This window comes from Homo sapiens, chromosome 8 (assembly GCF_000001405.40).
Source record: "Homo sapiens chromosome 8, GRCh38.p14 Primary Assembly".
Taxonomy (NCBI): domain Eukaryota; kingdom Metazoa; phylum Chordata; class Mammalia; order Primates; family Hominidae; genus Homo; species Homo sapiens.
The window spans coordinates 98,222,695-98,245,210 of NC_000008.11; the positions used below are offsets into that span (position 1 = coordinate 98,222,695).

Genomic DNA, 22,516 nt, shown 5'->3' on the forward strand with positions numbered 1-22,516 from the left:
AGTGCCAATCGCCCCTCCCTATTATACTCCGTTTCATCAAACCATCCTTGGATAGCGTCCACATTCACCTGAAGGCATTCCCTTTACAGGGGAATAGAGCCGGGGGATGGATGGGGCAGGACATAACTTCCAATTTTTCTCTATTGTTCTGGATAAATCCCAGCATCTTCAGGGAAACTTTCCCCAATGATTGGGAAGATCAGAATATGTGCTACGAAGACGTGAAAACACCTCCTAAGCTGACTGTTTCCTCATGGGTCAGTAAGTGCATGATGGATCTAGACACATCTAGATCTGTCTAGATCTAGATGGCACAGTCCAGAGGACAGGGAAACTATCACATGATGATCTGCTCTACACTCACTCATCCCTGGGGCTTTGAAGCACCCTCAGGTGATTTAACAATTTGAAACTCTGGTAATGAGCATCTTTAATCACTGCCATTTATTGGAGTCCTTTTAGCAGCAATAACAAAGGTGAATGCTGGCTTTGCTGTAGGAGTTTAATTAATCCAATCTAGAATATAGAATTCCAAGGTTAGCTTAGTAAAATAAAAATAAAATAGAAACCACGTCATAAACCTATGTAAGGAATGTGTTACTGCCATCGGTTTAGCATTACTTAAAATGACAGAAGGGAATGTGTGTAGGGGGATTAGGGGGTGAGGCCACCGAAGAAGGGGTGAAGGGAGGACTTGCCCTTCCAAATAATGTTGAAAACTGCTTATTTATATATAATTAGCAGTCTGACAAAACACCCGTGGTATAAGTAGCATATTTTAGATAGCACACTTGAAAACTTGCTTCAACTTGCTTCATCTCTGAGGTCAGTGCTATTGTGGATATAATTTATAACCAACATAGACTCCAACCTGAAACAATTTGGTTTGTCTACAAAGTCTCACAATTTGAAGGCACCAATTTCCTGTTCCTCGTATGCAAATGACTTAGGTTTTGAACTCTAGTTCCTGGAAGCAAATAGCATTTGATTTTTCGCAAAAGCTAGACAACAGCAATTCAGGGTATCGTAGAGCTACAAGGAAGTTTCCTATAATGTAACAATTTATTCTGTAATACTTTGTGAAGACAGATTATATGCAATCTTTAAAGCTATTTCTAATAAGAACTTTAAAAACAAAAAACAGTATACATTATTAAACACTAAATAATAAAACCATATATAAGAACTTGGGAGAAAATTATTGGTCAGTCATGTCTTTTCTTTGGAAAAAAAATTACATAATTGTTCAAAAGCAGGTTCCTAGGAGGAAGAGATTCAAAAAAACTGTTTTCTAAACTTGGTATGGTAAAGTAGCATATTACTTTAAGATGTCTCAGATACTTCTGTTTCTTTTGTGAAATCCAGATTTCTAGTTATATCAAGCTCCTCTGCCAGACACTCCTTTATCTCTTCTAATAGTATCCAGTTCTATTAACTTTCTTGTATTTAAATTTAGTTTTGAGTAGGCAACACATGTATATGGCAAAATTCCAACAATACACAAGGGTGATTGGTGGAAAGTTAAATCTCATGTACCCTGGTGGTTCACTAGTTTTCCTCCTCAAAGTTAACTACTACCACTAGTTCCTGGGGTTTTCTTTTCAGAGATGTTTTATGCATGTGTGTATAAGTGTACATGAGGTTTTTTTTTACATAAATAATTGCGTATTATATAAACTTTTTTGTATCTTGCTTTTTTTTTCTGCTTAGAACATTTTGGAGGACATTTCACATCAGTAAATGCAGGGTGGCTTCATTCTTTTTAAATCTACTGGTATTCTACCTCATGGAGGTAGTACTGTTTACTGAACCAGTTTCCAATATTGTCCCTGTTTCACATCCTGACATATCCCTCCCTACTTCACATCCACGTCTGCATTTGCCTTCCATGACTGTCCCTATCAATGTATATCTTCGTTGCGTTTCTTTCTAAATTTTGTAATTTTTGTGGGTACGTAGGAGGTGTATATATTTACAGGGTATATTTCACTGCATTTCAAAACTTTTTAAAAATATAAAATGGCTGATGCTTTTGCAGTTATACTTTCTTTCTTTCTTTTCTTTTTTTTTTTTTTTTTTGTTGAAACAGAGTCTTGCTCTGTCACCCAGGCTGGAGTGCAGTGGTGCAAACTCAGCTTACTGCAACCTCCGTCTCCTGGGTTCAAGTGATCCTCCTCTTAGCCTCCCGAGTAGCTGGGACTACAAGCACGTGCCACCACGCCCAGCTAATTTTTGTATTTTTAGTAGAGATAGGGTTTCACCATGGTGGCCAGGGTGGTCTCGAACTCTTGACATCAGGTGATCTGCCCGCCTCTGCCACTCAAAGTTCTGGGATTACAGGAGTGAGCCACCGTGCCCGGCTGCAATTATACTTTCTAAGTCCCTTTCACATATATTATTTCATCTGGGCCTCACATCACTGTGCATCTGCTACGTAACTATGGCAGTTCAGCAGGTCACACATTCTTTCTTCTTAATAATTTTTATTTCAGCTATCTGCAATAATTACAAAGGCAGTTCTGGGTAGCTGCCACCAGTTGCATGCTTGTTTATTTGGTGTCATTTATATTTATGTGATTTACTGTCCCCTTTATGAGTTGTATGCACATTTTTCATAAGTGTTTAGAAGTGTTAGTCATTTGCACTTCCTTAAATAAATTCCTTTTAAACTTATTTATATTCCACCTTTTTCTAAAAGTGGTATGAAACGTCAGTTCCTGCCCCCATTTTTATTTCGGTAAAGCCACATATATTCCTTCTTTTGAAAGACAGATTTCTGACTTAGGAAACTTGTTAGTTTACCTTCTGCTGGCCCATTTGCCGAAAGGAGTAATCTGGACATGTAAGATCCTCTGAAAAATCTGCTGCCAGATGTATCGGAGCTCTTTTGTATGTTATTTGTTTCTTTTCTCTTGCTGCTTTTAGGATTCTTTCTTTATCCTTGACCTTTGGGAATGTGATGATTAAATGCCTCGGGGTAGCTTCTTTGGGTTAAATCTGCTCGGTGTTCTGTACATGAACCTTCTTGTACCTTCTTGTACATGAATATTGATGTCTTTCTCTAGGTTTGAGAAGTTCTCTGTTATTATCTCTTTGTATAAACTTTCTAATCCTATCTCTCCCTCTACCTCCTCTTTAAGGCCAATAACTCTTAGATTTGTTCTTTTGAGGCTATTTCCTAGATCTTGTAAGCGTGTTCCATTCCTTTTTATTCTTTTTTTGTCTCCTCTGACTGTATTTTCAAATAGCCTGTTTTCAAGCTCGCTAATTCTTTCTTCTGCTTGATCATTTCTGCTGTTAAGAGACTCTGATGCATTCTTTGGTATGTCCGTTGCATTTTTCAACTCCAGAATTTCTGCTTGATTCTTTTGAATTATTTCAATTTCTTTGTTAAATTTATTTGATAGTATTCTGAATTCCTTCTCTGGGTTATCTTGCATTTATTTGAGTTTCCTCGAAACAGCTATTTGAATTCTCTGTCTGAAAGGTTACATAACCTTGCCTCTCCAGGATTGGCCCCTGGTGACTTATTTAGTTTGTTTGGTGAGGTCATGTTTTCCTGGATGGTCTTGATGCTTGTGAATGTTTGTTAGTGTCTGGGCATTGAGGAGTTAGATATTTATTGTAGTCTTTGCAGTCAGGGCTTGTTTGTACCCATCCTTCTTTGGAAGGCTTTCTGGGTATTTTAGGGAACTTGGGTATTGTGATCTAAGTTTTTGGTCACTGTGGCCATATCTACATGAGGGGGCATTCCAAGCCCAGTAATGCTGTAGTTCTTGCAGATTTGTAGAGGTACTATGTTGGTGGTCTTGGATAAGATCTGGGTAAATTACCTGGATTAACAGGCAGAGACTCTTGTTCTCTTCTCTTACTTTCTCCCAAACAAACAGTCTCTCTCTCTCTCCCTCTCTTTCTCTCTCTCTCTCTCTGTCCTGAATTGCCTGGAGTTGGGGGCGAGGGGTGGAATGACACAAGCACCCCTGTGGCCACTCCCACTGGGACTGCACTGGGTCAGACCTGAAGCCAGCACAGCACTGGGTCTTGCTCAAGGCCTGCTGTATCCACTGCCTGGCTACTGCCTATGTTCGCTCAAGGCCCTAGGGCTCTATAATCAGCAGGTGGCAAAGCCCAGCCAGGTTTGTGTCCTTCCCTTCAGGGTGACAAGTTCCCCTAGGCCCTGGGTGGGTCCAGAGATGCTGTCCAGGAGCCAGGCCTGGAGTCAGAAACCTTAGAAATTTACCTGGTGTTCTATTCTACTGCAGCTAGGCTGACACCAAAACCACAAGACAAAGTCTTTTCTACTTGTCCCTCCCCTTTCCCCAGGCAGAGGAGTCTTTCCTCTGTCCACCACCCTCAGGTACTGCCAGGGTACTGCCAATGGTGACATAAGGCCCAAAGGCTCTTCAGTCAGCTGATGGTGAATGCTGCCAGACCTGCCACTACCCTTCAGGGAAGTGGGCTCTCCTGTGGTTCAAGGGAAGTCTAGAAATGCCATCTAAGAGTCAAGACCTGGAATCAGGGACCCCAAGAGCCCTCTTGGTCCTCTACCCCACTGTGGCCAAGCTGGTACCTAAGCTGCAAGACAAAATCATTTTTATTCATTCATCTCCTTTTCTTAAGCAAAAGGAGTCCCTCCCCATAGCCACCACAGCTGTGAATATGCTGGGCCACACCTGAAGCTAATACATCTCTGAGTCTCACCCAAGGCTCACAGTGAGTACTGTGGCTATCACTGCTGATTATTCAGGGCCCAAATACTCTTTAGTCAGCAGGTGATGAATCCTGCCAGGACTAGGTCCTTCCCTTCAAGGCAGTGGCTTCCTTTCTGGCCCAGGGTGTGTCGAGAAATGTCATCCAGGAGCTACGGCCTGGAATGGGGGCCTCAGGACTCTGCCTGATGCCCTATCCTATTGTGGCTGAACTGGTATCCAAGTTGCAAGACAAAGTCCTCTTTATTCTCTCTCCTCTCCTCAAGTGGAAGAAAGGAGGCTCTCCCAGAGCTGTGAGCTGAGCTGCCAGGGGCTGCGGGAGGAGTGGCGCCTGCACTCCCTTGGCTGCCCAGCTGGTGTCTCACTGGATCGCATGCCCCTCAAGTCCACTGGTTCTAATCCTAGCACAGCACCAGGACTTGCCTAGGAGTTGCAGTTCTTGTGGCCTAGAGAGCCTTTCAAGTTTATTTAGGACCCCAGAGCCTTTTAGCCCACAGTGGCAAGGCTTGCCAAAACTCAAGTTCACACCTCTGGGGTGGTTGATTCCTCTCTGGATAGAGCTGGTCTAAATGCTCCCTCTGTGGCCATCAGCTGAGCTCTACGCAGTGTTGGCAGCATTGAGTTCCAGTGCAAAGTAATCACTGTGTTCTTCTTCCCCGAGTGTGCAGATTCTCTGTGCCACTTGGCCACTGCTGGAGGATGTGGGAGAGGTGGTGTTGGTGATTCAAGACCATCCTTCCTACCCTCTTCAGTGCCTCTTTCAGCAATATGAAGTTAACACCAGGTACTGTGATTGCTCACCTGAGTTTTGGTTCTTACGAAGGTGCTTTTTTCGTGTGTAGATACTTGTAAAATTTGCTGTTCCTGCAGGGAGGACGATTGGTAGAGGCTTCTATTCAGCCATCTTGCTCCACTTCCTTTGTCTGGTCATGTAAGATCCAAAAGGAAGCAGGGTATCACCAACATGTTCCTCACCCGCAGAAATGTTGCATTTTAGGTCAAGACTTGGATCCCAGAAGCCTAATCCAAGCTGAAACTGCCCCCACAAAATTCACATTTCACTGCTACTTGCTACCTGGAAGAGCTTAGGCAAGTTATTTACTCCAGACTCAGTTTCCTCATCTCTAGGTACAAATTAAGTCATCATACTTGCAAAATCCCAGGAACTTGGCTCTGCAAGAGGCCAGTCTAAGGAACTGAATACGCTTCAAAGCCCACTGAGAGGCCTGACATGACAGCAGACCCTGGATAGATCCATCTCAGGATGCATCTCAGGATGCAGGCATGCCATGAGCCAATGGCCATCTGAGTTAAGCTTAAAAATTAGTCCAAAATGATGTCTCTGATATTATAGCCTTGGGATGATCAGGGACCATCACTGGGGCTGTCTCTAAGGAGATAACCCAATTTGAGAATGGAAGGAATGAGCAGGAAGGAATTGGCTGGTGTTTTCTCAATGCCTAGCAAAGACTTCTTGCTGTTGGTTTTCAAAGAAAACAGAAAGAAGGACATGGCATAACTAACAGACATAACAAAGAAGAAGGAAAAAATAGCAGTCCTATGTTTTCTACCCACAGCTAGCCTCAGGAAACTAGTGCATAGAGTCCCAAGATCTGGATATTGGAGGGGACATAAAACAGCAGCCAGACAGCTGTGGGTAAGCTGCAGGTAAGAGCCAATGTCTAGATGCTAGATGCTACCCACAATGCAGGCATGGGATGCCATCCTCTGCCCTCATGCCCAAACCTGCAGCAAATACATTTTTCTTATCAAATACAACTCAAGTCACTTAGAAGTCTATAATCGTCTGGTGGGAATCTTAGATTTAGCTTGATAACATACACAAATATTAAATAAAACCTCTCCCTATAAACTTGATATTTGTGCAAAACAGGTAAACAAGCAAATCCCTGCCTTTTATAATAGATACACTAGTTATACTGGGAGAGCATATGCCAAGGGAATGTAATCTTTTTTGTTTTAAATAGAGACACAGTCTCACTCTGTTACCCATGCTGGAGTACAGTGATGCAATCATAGCTCACTGCAGCCTCGAATTCCTGGGCTCAAGTGATCATTTCATCTTGGCCTCCTGAGTAGCTGGAACTACAGGCATGTGCCACCATGACTGGCTAATTTTTTAATTTTAATTTTTGCAGAGATAGGGTCTGGCCATGTTGTCCAGGCTGGTCTCGAACTCCTGGTCTCAAGTGAACCTCCCACCTTGGCCTCCTAAAGTGCTGGAATTACACGTGTGAGCCACTATGCCCAGCCAGTAATAATTTTTTTTAGGTGATGTTCTTAAAATTATTGAGTTCATAGACATGTATGGCTGACATGAGAGTTATGGTATAATCAGCATCATGCTAAAATATGATGATGATGATAACTATAATAGTAATAACTAATACTTGTAAGCACAGTTCTAAATGCTTTATACATAACTAATTTAATCCTCACAACAAATCTGTGAAAATGATTTACCTTTGTGTTATTACACTGTTACAACTTATACTACACATAAGTTGTATAGTATATGACATATAATATGAATACTATATAATGTATACTCTTAAATTGTTACCATCTACATTTGACAAGTGAGGAAATTGAGTCACAGAAGAAATAACTATTTTGCCTGGGATTTTCCAGCTAAGAAGAGGAGAGCTGGGATTGGAACCTAGGTAGTCTATTTTCTTAACTATTATACTCCACAGCCTCTTATTTGCATTAAGAATTAAGGCCACTGAATGGACAGCTCAGGGCTGTCACTTACATTGAAGTCTATATGAGTGGCACCCCTAGGAGCTGTACAGAGCACAACCTGAGGCCATATGCAGCATCCTCATTGGGGATTAAAGGAATTGATTGTTCCTGGCAGAGGACCCTGGGGTCCTTGACTGGTCTCAGGTTATTTTTCTGGCCTTAAGTTTCCTTTAGAAGAGCACTCTCAAACTGGTGTTCCCTGGAACCAGTTTCATAAGGTAGATGCTCCACCAAAAAAGGTCCCAAGGCAAATGTATTTGAGCAGAGGTGAATTAAACAAACTTAAATCATTCTTTTACTGGAAAACCTCTCAGATCTTAATGTATTAGCATTCACCGTAAATCTCCCAGAGGAGGATATGGTTGTCATATTTTCTAAACATATTTGACCATTTATATTGCACTGAAGTAGTGTTTTGGGGGAATATTTTATATTTTGGGAAATACTTGATATTTAACTGGATCCAGCTGTGAGCATGCCTTTGTTTCAGGAGGCTACTAGTGTTCTGTTGCAAAAGTCTTCTATAGATACCTGTGCACCAAAAATGTGGTTGGAGGAAAACACCCCAGAATCAGGCTCCTTCTGAAGCTTCTGTTCACTGGCACCTCTAGCTGGCGGAGTCTTGGAATCTAAGATGTACTTGCACAGTTCTTCCACAACAGATATCCTGGTTCCCAAGCTCCTCTCTCCCCGAACTAAAACCTGAAATCTTGAATTTTGTCCACTTTCCAGCTGGATGCTACTTAATATTAAGTGCCCATTTGCTGACTTCTGGAATCTGGTCTGACCTGACTTTTAGGAGCCTTAAGAGTTTTTCTTATTCAGCTAACCTGACTGCAAGGGAAAGATTGCAGTCTAATCCCTTTGGTCCCTGCAGTATGTCTCCTGGTCAGTGGGAGTCCAGTTATTGCTTTTGTGGGATAACAGGAGTCAAAGAATAAATTGGACTCCTTAACATCAAACCATTTGGAAATACCCTCCCATAAGTACAGTCTCTCTGGATTCCTCAGGCTTATGGTAGCTAAACCTTGAAGGACCCCTCGATTGAAAATCTCGGTGATGTGGTGAATTCAAGTAGTCCCAGACCTTCCATCAGAAAGGCTCCCATTCTTGAGGCAGCTCTGCAACCAAAACAGTCAATCTGTCTTCTCAACCAGAGACGATGGGTCATTTAGCTAGTTTAGTATTCTAGACATTGGCTCCAAATCAAGCTGACTTCTGGTGTGGGAAATGGAAGGAAGGAAATGGCCCTCCTCTCACTGTTAATCTCCTGATATTCTATTTAGGCTGACTGTCATTTTTATTTCCATGATGACTCTATCTGGTCTTAAATCAACTAGGATCTCACAGATGATTTGGTGCTTTTGACGTCTAAGGGAGAAGAGAGAAGAAAATCCTATAGTTTTCAGCCGATTGAAGGGGAGAGAAATCTGGTGCTTTTTTTAAAAGGAAAAATAATCATTAAAATAATTAATCCACTAAGAATCAGAGCACAGTCCAAACCTGTCATTGACTTAATAACCTGGCGATTGCTTTCAGAAATAGCTTTGTGAGGTCATTTTTTGAGACTAGTGATGAAAAGCTTCACAGTCACAGAGTAACATTTGGCAATAAATTAGTTCAGCTTGTTTCCACATGGTCCCCAAATCTTCATTTGTTCCATCATGAAAAACAAACTTTCATTTGCTTGAAACAGAGAAAAATAAATGATTTTCCTTTACACATTTTGATAATTTAATTTTTAGCATGTTCATATGTTAATCTTTAAAAAACACCACTAACTACTCTTTTACCTGTTTGGTTTTAGTCCCTATAAAGAAAAAGATGCTTTTTTTAAAAAATTTTTTTTTTGCTTTTAGCAGAAAAAGCTACATTTTCTCAAGGCAACGGCAACAAAGGCTCAAAGAAAATACATGTGACTTGACACATTTCTGAGAGGGGTTGGGGAAAAGTCCTTCCTTGGACTTCCGTAAATATGAAGTGGGTTACGACATCTCAGATGATGATAATCTTAGGATATCGCTTGTTGGAGGCAAGGGTATAGAATAGGTGACTAAATCCTTTTTTCATTCCTATGACACTAGATTAAAGGCAAAAATTGGTCACGTTTAATTATGGTATGAAATAAATGTGACTTATGAGTTACATAGCCCTACTCCAAAAGCATTAAGTTAGGTAGGAAAAAACAAAACAGAGCACCCAATCAGAGTTGTGGGAAAGGTTACCTGGATTACTAAAGTTTGCAAAAATGTCCTAATCTAGGTTTCCTCTGATTAATTAGTAGAGTACAGTGGTGGGTGATGGTGGTAGTAGTAATAATGACAATTATAGCTAATATTATTGAACACATTATGTGATAGGCCCTGTTGTTAGAGTTTTACATATATGAACTCATTTAATCCTGTGAGGTATGTAATATTATCTTTATTTTAAAGATTAGAAAATTGAGGCTTAAAAAGCTTATTTATATAACTTGGCAAAGGTTACATAAGGTTCCTCTAGTGTGGTCTTAAAAAAGAAAAAAGAGAAAGGTTATATAAGGTTACATAATAGCTTTCTGATACTAAAGACTCACCCTAACTTTATACTATAGCTATACCAGATTGCCATTGTTAGGATACTGGTCTATCATGTACTAGTTATATGACCTTGGGCAGGTTACTTAACCTTGCTAAGTATCAGATTTTGCTTCTGTAAATGGATTGTTCCTACATTCAAATGAGATAATCCATGCAAAACACTTAACATAGTATTTGGCAAGAGTAAATGTTTAATAAATTTTAGCTGCTTTTAAAAGATGAGGAATTAGGCCAGGCGTGATAGCTCATGCCTGTAATCCCAGCACTTTGGGAGGCAGAGGTGCGTGGATCATGAGCTCAGGAGTTAGAGACAAGCCTAGACAACATGGTGAAGCCCTGTCTCTACTAAAAATACAAAATTTAGCTGGGCGTGGTGGTGTATGCCTGTAATCCCAGCTACTTGGGAGGCTGAGGCAGGAGAATTGCTTGAACCTAGGAGGTGGAGGTTGCAGTAAGCTGAGATCACGCTACTACACTCCAGCCTGGGCAACAGAGCGAGACTCCATCTCAAAAGAAAAAAAAAAGGTGAGGAATTAGCAAAGAATCCCAAATAATTAATTAAAGGTTTTATTTTGTTAGTTTGTTTTCTTGATGTGTGTGTGTGTGTGTGTGTGTGTGTTTTCCCCTTCCTTATATTACATTTTTAGTATTACCTCTTAGGAATCTCTCAGCAATGAAGGTGGTAATAGAAATTATGACAATTATATTGACAAAGCTTTGCATTTTTCAAAGTACTTATATATGAATTATTTAATGTGATCTTCAAAACTGTCTTACATATTTGCCAGAAAAGTGAGGCTTAGAGAAGTTAAGTAATACTAGGTTGCCTGTACAGTTGATAGCCAGAGTTGAATCCAGATCTGAAGTTATGAGAGTCAGTTTAATTTAGATCCTTTAATGTTGAGAGCTGGTTTATTGCTTCTGGTAATGTTTGGTTGATCATGCGTTCTCTAAGTATATAAGAAAATAAACTGTACATATTGATATTTTTATTTCTTCCTTTCCATAGTTACAACTTGCATTTATTTTTTCCTAAGCCTTACAGGCAGGAGTTAAGGTGCAGTATGAAATAGAAACTTACTTTACCTTTTTGTATCTTTGTTAACATTTCTCATGTTATTCCCTCTGTATGTCCTCCTCCAAATTATTGGATGTAGCCTATGCCTGTCCTGCCCAGCTGTCAGAACCAATTCAAATGTTATCTCTGCTGTAAAAAATTCTCTCTGATCTTCTCAGCTAGAGAAGAACAGGGCTAAACCTGAGTAATTTTGTCCCCTAGGAGACATTTTGGAATGTTTGGAGACATTTTTGGTTGTCATAACTGAGTGGGAGGATGTTAGAGGGATCTAGTGGGTAAAGGTCAGGAGGGATCTTAATGATCCTACAGTGCACAGGGCAGCCCCTACAATGAAGAATGATCTGGCCCCAAATGTCAGCAATGCTGATTCAGAAACACTTCTAAACTAAAGACTCATGACATTATGGCACATATTCTTTTCTACTTAAAAAAAAACCTATTTATGAATCTATATTATCATGGACTATAAATTACTTGTGGACGGGGATTCTGTCTTAATTATCATTTATCACTAATATTCAAGATTAGTCAGCAAATCCCCCTTTATATCTGCATTCTCTCATTAAATACCTTAGATTAATTTGATCATTATTCAATCATTAACTATAAAAGGTGACAGATATTAGATAAAAGGATTTAAAGTTCCCTTAAGCCACTTGATAAATGAGAAAAATAATATATCTAGGACCTAATTTTTAGTTTATAAAACTCAGGTATTGGTCATTTTTTTTTCTTTTTGAGATAGAGTCTCACTCCGGTTGCCCAGGCTGGAGTGCAGTGGTGCAATCTTGGTTCACTGCAGCCTCGTCCTCCCAGGCTCAGGTGATCCTCCTGCCTCAGCCTCCCAAGTAGCTGGGACTACAAGTGCATGACACCACACCTGTCTATTTTTTTTTTTTTTTTTCAGTAGAGACGGGGTTTTGCCATGTTGCCCAAGCTGATCTCGAACTCCTGGACTCAAGCAATCCGTCTGCCTCGGCCTCCCAAAGTGCTGGGATTATAGGCATCAGCCACTGCATCAGGCATTGGCCATTCTTATTTCTGAGTCCATACAACTTCCCCAAATGATTCTACAAACCACAATATATAAAAAAGGGTATAGAAAAATAATATGTTGGAAGAGATAGAATCCACATATGAATGCATTTAGAAAAACATTTAACCATGAAAAATTTGACAATGTTGACTAAAAACTCTGCTAGCAGAATCAAACCAAGGAGGAAAAGAAAAAGAGAAAACATTTTCAAGACATTACGCTCAAGGGAAACATGATCAGGGAAAACAAATGCTCAACATACCAACACTGGTGTCACATTTAGAGCTCAAAATTTAAAAAAAATATGATCTCCCTGGAAGAGGGTAGGCATTGTTTTATTTAAAGTGCCTAAAGTATTTGTATTCATTATCATATGTCAGCAGCAATTCAAACAGGATTTTGTCACGGAAGAAAATATGAATCTCTATAATTCTTCTCACCAATGATATGTCCAACAATAGCTGGAAAATTCAACACATAAGTGATGGCTTTGCCATACATCAGAAATGTTTCTTACAGCCAGGAAGGCTACTGTCATTTTCCATTAATAACTGTATTTCCAAATAAAATATTTAAGAACAATGGTCTGTGCTACTTTTGGGAAAAGCCAAATATAAATTTTAGTTAGTTGATGCATCAAATTTTTTGTGGTTTTCATTTTTATGCAATACTTTCGTGTAACAATATAACAAATATATCCTTTGGAGTGTAATAGTCTATTAGGTAACACAAATGTTTTCATTGAATTTTATGGTGTTCATAAAATTTTATAACATTAATATTATTATAATAACCCATTATAAAATATACAAATGCTCAACATACCAACACTAGTGTCACATTTAGAGCTCAAATTTTAAAAAAAATATGATCTCCCTGGAAGAAGGGAGGCATTGTTTTATTTAAAGTGCCTAAAGTATTTGTATTTTAATGGGTTATTATAATAATAAAATGTTATGAAATTATAATTCAGTGCATTATAATAATATAATCCCTTCAACTGATTAATATTATAATCATAAATTATTTTATAATAATTCATTATAATTATTAATTAATAATTTGCTATAGCAAAAATTGATCACATTTAGCAGTAGTCACAATAGAAATGGAAGTATTTTATGCGAGAAGAGATGGCAGCTCCAAGACAGAATAATGCCTGACTCTAAATGAGACTTACACCCATTTCAGTAATTTGTTTCCAGTTTTTATCGCACATATTTTTTATGGATTGTATTATTTATTTCCTGATCAAGCAATGCTACAATTACATGAATTAAATAATTACTTACCGAGTAAGTCTGAGGCTCTCAAATTGTCTTTCAGAAATGTAACAGAAATAATGGCACTACCTATAAAGAAAATGGCCATTAGTGGTAGTTCCAATATAAAAGTGTCTATTACGCAATGCCATTTGAAAGAAGTTAAGCAATTTGTGCCTTATGCCTGATGAGCTATGTCCTGATCAGAGACATTCAGCAGTTGTGGCTATAAAAAGGCCTTTCTTCCCCCTGTGGCTGAGGATATGTGGAAATTGGTGTGGTTTACAATGGATGTGGCTGAGACAGTGTCTTGTATATAGTGAAGGCTTAATAAAAGTTTGCTAAAAGACAGAACAAATGAAAGAAAGAAGAAAGGCAGAAAGAGCAGGAAGGGGCAGAAAGAGCAGGAAGGATTAGAAAGACAGGAAGAGATAGGAAGGAAAGAAAGAAGGATGGGGCAGGGTGCAGTGGATCATGCCTGTAAGCCTCAGCACTTTGGGAGGAGTTTGAGTCCAGGAGTTCAAGATAAGCCTGGGCAACATAGTGAAACACCCCATCTCTACTTAAAATACAAAAAATTAGTGGGGCATGGTGGCGTGGGCCTGTAGTCCCAGCTACTGGGGAGGCTGAGGTGGGTGGATTTCTTGAGCCTGGGAGGTTGAGGCTGCAGTGAGCCATGATGGCACCACTGCACTGAAGCCTCAGTGACAGAAGGAGATCCTGTCTCAAAAAAAAAAAAAAAAAAAAAAAAGGACAGGAAGAACTTTAAATATGTGCTAAACTGAAACTCATGATTTCCCAGCATCTCCTCCTATAATTCCTGTTCCGACAATTCCTGTATCTACTTAACACCAGAATCCCAGGACTGCTCCTATTTCTCTTCTATTTGACGATCCACATCCAACAGGTCACTGGGTCTAAATCTATAGTCCACTCTATTTTTTTCTTTTTTTTGAGACAGGGTTTTGCGCTGTTGCCCAGGCTGGAGTGCAGTGGCAAGATCATAACTCACTGCAACATTGGACTCCTAGGCTCAAGTGATCCTCTCGAGTAGCTGGGACCACAGGCTCATGCCACCACTCCCAGCTAATTAAAAATTTTTTTATTTTTAGAAATGGGGTCTCACTATGTTGCCCAGGCTGGTGTCAAACTCCTGGGCTCAAGTGATCCTCCTGCCTCGACCTCCCAAAGTATTGGGATTACAGGCGTAATCCACCGCAACCAGCCTTATTTCACTCTTTGTTAGGTCTGTTCCCAACTCTTCATTCCTGTGATCACCAGCCCTATCCCAAGCTCAGGGCAGCTTCTCTGGCTTAGACCTTTAGCTTCCCTCTGACCTCCCATTTCCCCCTTTTCCCCTTTCCCCATACCACCACCAGAGTAATCGCTCTAAAATGCAAATCTAATGTAAATCCACTGCTTTCAAACCCCTAAGTGGCTGGTCTACAGGACAAAGGCCACACTACCAAGCAGAACACTCAAAGAGCTATGATTTTGCTTCTGATGCTTTGGTCACCACATTTGTCTTTATTTGATAATCTGTAGCCCACCTTTACTGAAGTAATTATAATTCCCAGAATCCACCATGCAGTTTCATGCTTAATGGCTTTTACATGTCCAGCTCTGCCCTGTCCTTGTGACCAGCTCTAGACTCAAGTGTCACCTCTGGATTCCCCTGGGCTGAGCTGATCCCGCCACCCTTATGCTCTGATTACCCCTGTGTATAGCTTTTTCACTACACCTAAGATTTATTTGCCTGTCTTCCCCGAAAGACCATCAGTTCCTTTTAATCTGAGATATGTCTTTTTATTCTTCTAAGATCTCCAGTGAGTAGCTGTATCTAGCACATAAAAGGTGTTCAATAAATGCTCATTGAATGAAATGAAAGAGTATGGGATCTCAGCCTTGCAGTTGTTCTCTTTCCCATTAGTGACACTACTGGACTCTCTCCCTCACAGTCGAGCCATCGTCTGCTACTGTCGCCTCAGGTACCAGGGTTAAACTGAACCTCTCTGAGTTGTCCCTGTTATGGGGTCATTTATGAGTATAGGCATGGGAAAATCCAAAATTGCAATAATACAAAAAGATATGCAACATAATATATGCTGTAAATTTTTAACAAAAACTATTTGCTGGTTGTTTTTTAAAAGTAAAAGTACAGGAAAGAAAAGTTATCATAAAATAATATCATCCTGTAAAGAAAATTGCAGTTAATATATTGGTGTTTTTATTTCCCTTCAGTTGAGATCAAACTTTAATATCAAATTTCCTTTCTCAGTTTCCTCAGTTAACACATTACAATTTGCCATGTCATCAAGAATTCTTCATAGACATAATTTTAATGTTGGTATAATAATCCATTAAACAGATGCTGTGGTTAAATTTGAATGTGACTATATCTGATGTTCCGGCAATTTATTGAAAACAAAATAAGTCCACACCAGAAACCCTCATGCAGGATAAGATGAGATGCTATTTGTTTCCTTTTTTTTTTTTTCCTCAACTTAGCTTTTTCTCATTCTGGTTGATCTTTGTCCTTCAAAACTTTTCCCGGGCAGGTTACTTACAGGAATGGAAGTTTCACACAGGGTAAACCAGGCATGGGAAATGCTCATCAAGCATGAGTTTGAGTGTTTTGGTTTTAAAACATTAAAGCAAGGTTTTCTGTAGATAAACTAATGCATGACTACATGGCTCATTAAAGTAAGAAATGAATTTGGGATAGGTATGAAAATGTATGCAAATTTTCTATTTCAGATTTGGGCCAAAATAATCCAGGGAAACTAATTTCCCATGGTAGAGCATGAGAAAAGGTATTAAAAACCCAAACCCCTACCCCACCCTCCAATCACAGACTTCCTGTGTAATTAAGTAAGGGATGTTTCTAAGTAGGAGATCGATTAGCAATAAAAAATAGGTGAAGTGTCGCTACATTAACACATACCAAATGTGTTCCATTATAACAATCCTTGAAATGACCATTTCACTACAAAGGATTATAGTAAGAAGGGAAACATTGCTTACATGGAATGAGATTTTAAGGTAGTAGGAGACATAGACATAATCTACTCCAGGTTCTAAACTTGATAATTGGGAAACTGAGGTCCAAAGAATTTGTTTGTCTATTCACTGATCCATCCATTTAAAACACATTTACATTACAGCAGAGCTGGAACTGGCACTCATATTTCCTTGCTCTCAGTCCAGAGCTCTTTCTAGTACACTATACCCCATTGGCTCCCTTGAAGTAAGAAAACACATCATTTTACTTTTCTTGTTGCCAAGCCACAGTTTCATAAATACATTTACTTTCAGAAGGAGGAGGGGAAAATGTTATATGGGAAATAATTTCATTGCTAAAAGCAAAAAGGACATGATTGGTAACAAAAAACTGGAAATACACTACTTGTATCAAATTATATCAATTGCTATAAAACAATTGTCAGAATTTTATGAAACATAAATATGCTACTCTTCCTTTCTGAAAGATAATAGAAGTCTAATGCACTTCCACATTCAGCCAATAACATTTTTTTTCTGTTTTAAGAGAACTTGAGATTTTCTACAAAATTTTTAGGTAATAGAACAAGATTTTTTAGTTTTATTTATCTAGTAAAAAAGGCAAGAAAAAAAGAACATTCTATTAAGATACATTTACTTTCAACTCATTTATCTTGCAAATATGCTAAAATGAGAGCTGTGTTGAGCAAAAAGGCAGTATTGAGCAACAGCTAATAACATGACTTTTAAGTAGAGTAGTAAGTTTTTCAAATGAGAAAAACATCAACTGAAGTACTCGCATATATGTTTGTAATCAGAGGTCTATCAAGCCCAACACTTTCTAGTAGTTGCTATCACAATAACCATTGCCTAATGAACACCTAGAAAAGGGGAAAATCTATTATACTTTTATTCCTATAGTAAAATTTAATATTCAAAAATAGAGCATTTCAAGATTAATCACTTAAAAAGCATGAAAACAGAACATAGCTGTAAATTAAACAGATTTGTACTAGTTATGGTTAAACCATAGTTATGACTGGATATTTACTTAAGCAATCAATTGTGTGTGCATTTTTGGTTTGAGACATGTTTGGGCAGAGACTCATGAATGCTTTTCCCTCTGGCCTTCAGAAGACATGGGTCTACAGAGAGTGCTCACTGATCTTGGTGCTTTATTAAAAAGTACTTTTTCGGGGGGAAAACTGATGTAAGAAAAACCAGGAGGAAGATGCGGGCTCTCCTAAGCACACAATAGTCCTAGCAGGTTAATAAAATGTCCCTGATTCAGACAGGCTATTTTCCCAGCCAAAACTCACTGCCCATAGTCAGTGAACTGTTATTCTTGGCAGGTGGGAGATGTTTATAAAATGTGACACCCTTTCCCTACAAGCTTATCAACAAGTGATGGCGGATGGTGCTATTGCAGTTGTCCAAGAATCATCTTATCTTGGGGCCGATATATAAAATTTGCAAAAGGGGGTCTAATCTGAGCTGAGCTGTCTTCAACTCATCCTTACTTCATTATTCTTAAGGAAATGCTCTATTGGAAAGGCTAAGGCTGATTCATGAGAATGCTGGGAAGTGGAATATGGACAGGAATTAGCCAAAAAGACTTCCCTACTGTTTTGTTACTCAGAGTATCACTCCAGGTGAAAAGAAGAAGGTCCTGTTGAAGAACTGAAGTTCCACAATACTGCCTAGGTGGCCGGGTGCTGGGCTGGGATGTAGAACACCTGGGTTTGAGTGTTGCTCTGTCCAGAACCAGCTATGGAATACAGCACATGTTAATGTGCTAGCCTCGGTTTTATTTCCTCAACCGGTGAAAGGAAGCATTTGTGCTTCGTCCTTTCTAATTATTCTCCTTGCTTGAACATTTTATAAACAGTCAGTTACTAGAAATAAGAGTGCATGGACCAAGCTGTGCTCTTTGTGTTTTCCCAGGTGGCTTTGAGTATTTGAGGGAAAAGAGACAGGTCCTCTGTTTTCCAAGATGACCATGGTCTATGTGTGTAGGTATAACTGAAAACACCAAGATTTGACACAGCATCTTTTCTTTACTTAGTGATGATATGTGTGAACAGGTATACCCACCAGTATGCAAAGAAACACAACCCCAGTGGATAAATGAATGGGCAGGAACACAAGTAATTCACAAATGAGAGTAGACAAACACATAGGGGAAAGTCCAAATCATCAGTAATAAAGATAATTTAGAGCCAGGTGCTCTTTTCCACACACAATTTTAAGGCTGAGTATTGACAAGGAAGAAGTAAAGTCAGTACTCCCTCACATTGCTAGAGTCACTGTAAATTGATAGAAACTTTCTGATGAGTGATTTTACAATATCTATCAACAGCATCAAACTATTCAAATTCTTTGATCTAGTAATTCTGCATCTGTGAATCTGTCCTAAGGAAGTATTCCAAAAAATGGAGAGTCTCAAGCCTAAAGGTGTCAATTGCAAAATTATTTTTCATAGTGGAAAACTGGAATAATCTAAACGTTCAGCAATAATCAGTAGGATATTATGCAGCTAATAGAAATTATTATGGAAAATTACACAGTGATATTGATAATTTTATGCTATTATGTTAAAAGAGGTAGAAAATTATATTTATACAATGATTATGACAGGAAAATATATACACAATAAGGGTGGCTGAATATTCTACTTATTAAGGGTTTGACACGGAATAATTAACTCTTTCTATCCTCCCAGCGTCTCAATGAGATAGTTGGCATTGTTATACTCATTTTACAGATAAAAAAGCTGAGGCTTGGAGAGTTTAAGTTTATTACACAATGTCACACAGTGACTCCAGAGTCAGGCACTAGACCACAATGGCCATAATGCATTAAAAAAATAAAAGGTGAAAGGTAATACACCATTGGTATACCATGGCATAAAAGGCAAAAGGTAATGTACCATTGATAATATACCAATTTATCAAATTTCCTTTAGACAGGAGGAATAAGTTTTAGCGATCTATTGCACAGCATGGTGACCCAGTTAATAGTGATACATATTTCAAAATTCCTAAAAGAGTAGATTTTAAAAGTTCTTTTTTTTGAGACAGGGTCTCCTTCTGTTGCCCAGGCTGGAGTGCAGTGGCGCAACCATGGCTCGCTGCAGCCTCGACCTCCTGAGCTCACGTGATTCTCCCACCTCAGCCTCCCAAGGAGCTGGGACTATAGGCAATACCGTGTACTAACACGCCTGGCTAGTTTTTAATTTTTTTTGTAGAGACAGAGTCTCACTATGTTGCCCAGGCTGGTCTCAAACGTCTGGGCTCAATTGATTCTCCTACTTTGGCCTTCCAAAGTGCTGAGATTACAGGCAAAAGCCACTGCACCTGACAGATTTTTTTTTTTTTTTTTTTAACTGAGCCTGGCTCTGTCACCCAGGCTGGAGTGCATTGGCGATCTCAGCTCACTGCAACTTCCGCTTCCCAAGTTCGAGCGATTCTCCTGCCTCAGCCTCCTGAGTAGCTGGGGCTATAGGAGCCCACCACTATGCCCGGCTAATTTTTGTATTTTTAGTAGAGATGGGGTTTCACTATATTGGCCAGGCTGGTTCTGAGCTCCTAACCTCGTGATCCTCCCGCCTTGGCCTCGCAAAGTGCTACGATTACAGGAGTGAGCCACCGCGCCCGGTCTTTTGCCTAAATATTCTTAACCATACAAAATGAGAAGTCGATGAGATGATAAATATGTTAATTAGCCTGATGTAATGTTTCTACAGCATATACAACTATCAAAACACCACACTGTACCCCATAAACATATAAAATTATTTGTCAATTAAAACAATTTTAAAAATTACGTTAAAAAATAAAAAAGTTTGAAAAGATAACATGCCAAAACCCAAAGGGTGGTTCTGTAGGAGTCATGGGGGGCAGGGCGGAGGAAGACAGCAGGAATACTATCCGTAAGGGGAAAGGACATGCAACCTTCTTCTAGTGTTTCCTTTGGTGCAAAATGGTACCTCCATGGAGCAGTCTAATGTATTTAATGCATCCAGTTGCCCTTGAAGCTCTAATGCTTTAAGGAAGCTTTTCAGCAGCAATTGCTGACTGCTGACTGTGGACTGACTCCTATTGGTGAGTCATCTGTTCTTTTGGCTATTAAGTGTCACTTAGGTTGGCAATCAAAATGGAGATTCATTCTGTTCAAGGTTCATATAAGGAAACGTACACTTGGGCATTTGGATTCAGGTTTCCAGATGAAAATAGATAAAATAAAGGCCAAGCAAGTTTCCGGTGCCTTCCAAACCATGTCTAGATGTGGGGGAGGGTGCCAGTCCCAGAGCGAGGTATGTGTCTTGGTGTTGCACTTCCTCGTGCTTCTTGATTTACTTAGGAATCAACCCTCGGTTTGTCCTTCATTCACCTACTCTCTGAAATCCTTCAGTTTATGAGACTCGGTCCAAGACCAGCTCTTATTATGGAAGAGTTACTTGATGCTCTAAGACCCATAGCAGGCCACAAGAGAGAAAAAGCCAACCATAAATTAACCTGATGCATGAGTATTCAGAAAAGTTGTAAATACTTGGTTTGAGGTTCTTCTGTAATAGCTACTAATGTGGATTAATAAATGAGAAGTTAAATACCAAACTTCTCTGTTAGCAATTTAGCTCAAGGGCAGATTTTTACATGTCAGTTTAGAACCCTGTGTCTGTAGAATAAGAGGTAAATGGGCATTCCCTTTTTAAATTTGTAACATTAAGACATATGTGTGCTTTTTATTTAAACTCTCTTCCCCTAAAATAATAATTTTTTATTAAAAGCTTAATGGTACATAAGACTGTTCAATAACTGTTTCAATGTTTAGGGCATGGCTATTTTTAAATGATTTTGTTCACTTTGTTTATTTCTTTCTGTTTTTTTACCCTTTATTATCACTTCTTAAAGACAAATCTAACCCAAAGCTAAGACAATCAATTAATTATACTTTACTCAAATGTGATTATGGATATGATATTCTTATCTGATTCAGCTGGGGAGAAAAAGAACGTTTGGTTGACAGGTTACAAACTCAAATGCCTATAAGGGCCTTTAAGGTAATCCTCTGAAGACAAAAAAAAAAATGAGGGGGGTGTGGGCCACAGTAATAAGGGGGATGGGCTCTGGTGATGAAGACGGTGGGCGTGGTGATGAGAGGTAGTCTGTAATGATGAGAGGGTGGGCGTGGTGATGAGGGGTAGTCTGTAATGATGAGAGGGTGGGCGTGGTGATGAGGGGTAGTCTGTAATGATGAGAGGGTGGGCGTGGTGATGAGGGGTAGTCTGCAATGATGAGGGGGTGGGCTGTGGTGATGAGGGAGGTGGGCGTGGTGATGGGGGTAGGCTGTAATGATGAGGGGGTGGGTTGTGGTGATGAGCGGGTAGGCTGTGATAAGGGGGGTGGGCTGTGATGATGAGAGGGTGGGCTGTGATAAGGGGGGTGCGCTGTGGTGATGAGAGGGTGGGCTGTGGTGATGAGAGGGTGGGCTGTGGTGATGGGGGGTGCTGGCCATGGTGGTGATGGGCTGTGGGGCCGTGGTGAACTATTCAAGATCAGTGAAAGGTGGCACTCCTGAATCAGCCTTAGCCAACTGCAAATCCAGCACTACCAAATCTGATTCTTTAGCCAAAAATTCAGTTTTGTGTGTGTGTTATTGTCCAATTTTTACCCATAGGAAATTAATTAGTATTCTTTAAAAGCATTGTTTGAGCCAGTCAAAACATGGGCCAACTCTGGTCTACAGGCAAGTTTGTGAACTCTAATCTAGCCTACAAATAAAAATTTCATCCATTTTCATTTCCTGGACATTCAATTTATTACGTCATCTCTGTGATATAAAGAGAAACCAGGATGTATATTTATAATATAGGAAAATAGAAGATAAAACACTAAGGAAAACTCTCTCTTATAAAAAGAAAATAACCCATGACATGAAAAGAACATATTTACATAATAATGCTACAAACAGAACCTCACATGTAAATATCTGGCTTGTGGTTTCTGACCACTTATAATGGCAACTTTATTGTACTGCTAAAAAGCAAACCACAAAAACACTTTCATGTCAGTCACAATCAAGCT

At 39.4% G+C, this 22,516-nt stretch overlaps 1 protein-coding gene and 1 long non-coding RNA gene across 10 annotated transcripts in view; one reads left to right on the forward strand and one right to left on the reverse strand.

Moving 5' to 3' along the window:
- The window catches only part of NIPAL2-AS1 (NIPAL2 antisense RNA 1), a 72,899-nt gene that overhangs the window by 46,225 nt on the left and 4,158 nt on the right, over nt 1-22,516 (forward strand). The window lies entirely within an intron of this gene.
- Nucleotides 1-22,516, reverse strand: part of NIPAL2 (NIPA like domain containing 2) — a 104,410-nt gene that overhangs the window by 32,869 nt on the left and 49,025 nt on the right. For 7 of the 9 annotated variants that reach the window (NR_135747.2, XR_928352.4, NM_001321636.2 and 4 more), the window contains exon 4: nt 13,461-13,520. Coding sequence is in view for 5 of the 9 variants with exons in the window: in NM_001321636.2 (NP_001308565.1) it covers nt 13,461-13,520 (60 nt within the window). In the remaining 4 variants the exon portion in view is untranslated. Of the gene's footprint in view, nt 1-5,510; nt 5,633-8,997; nt 9,162-13,460; nt 13,521-22,516 lie in introns of all 9 variants that reach the window. The other 2 variants (NR_135746.2, NR_135745.2) reach the window with 2 other exon arrangements.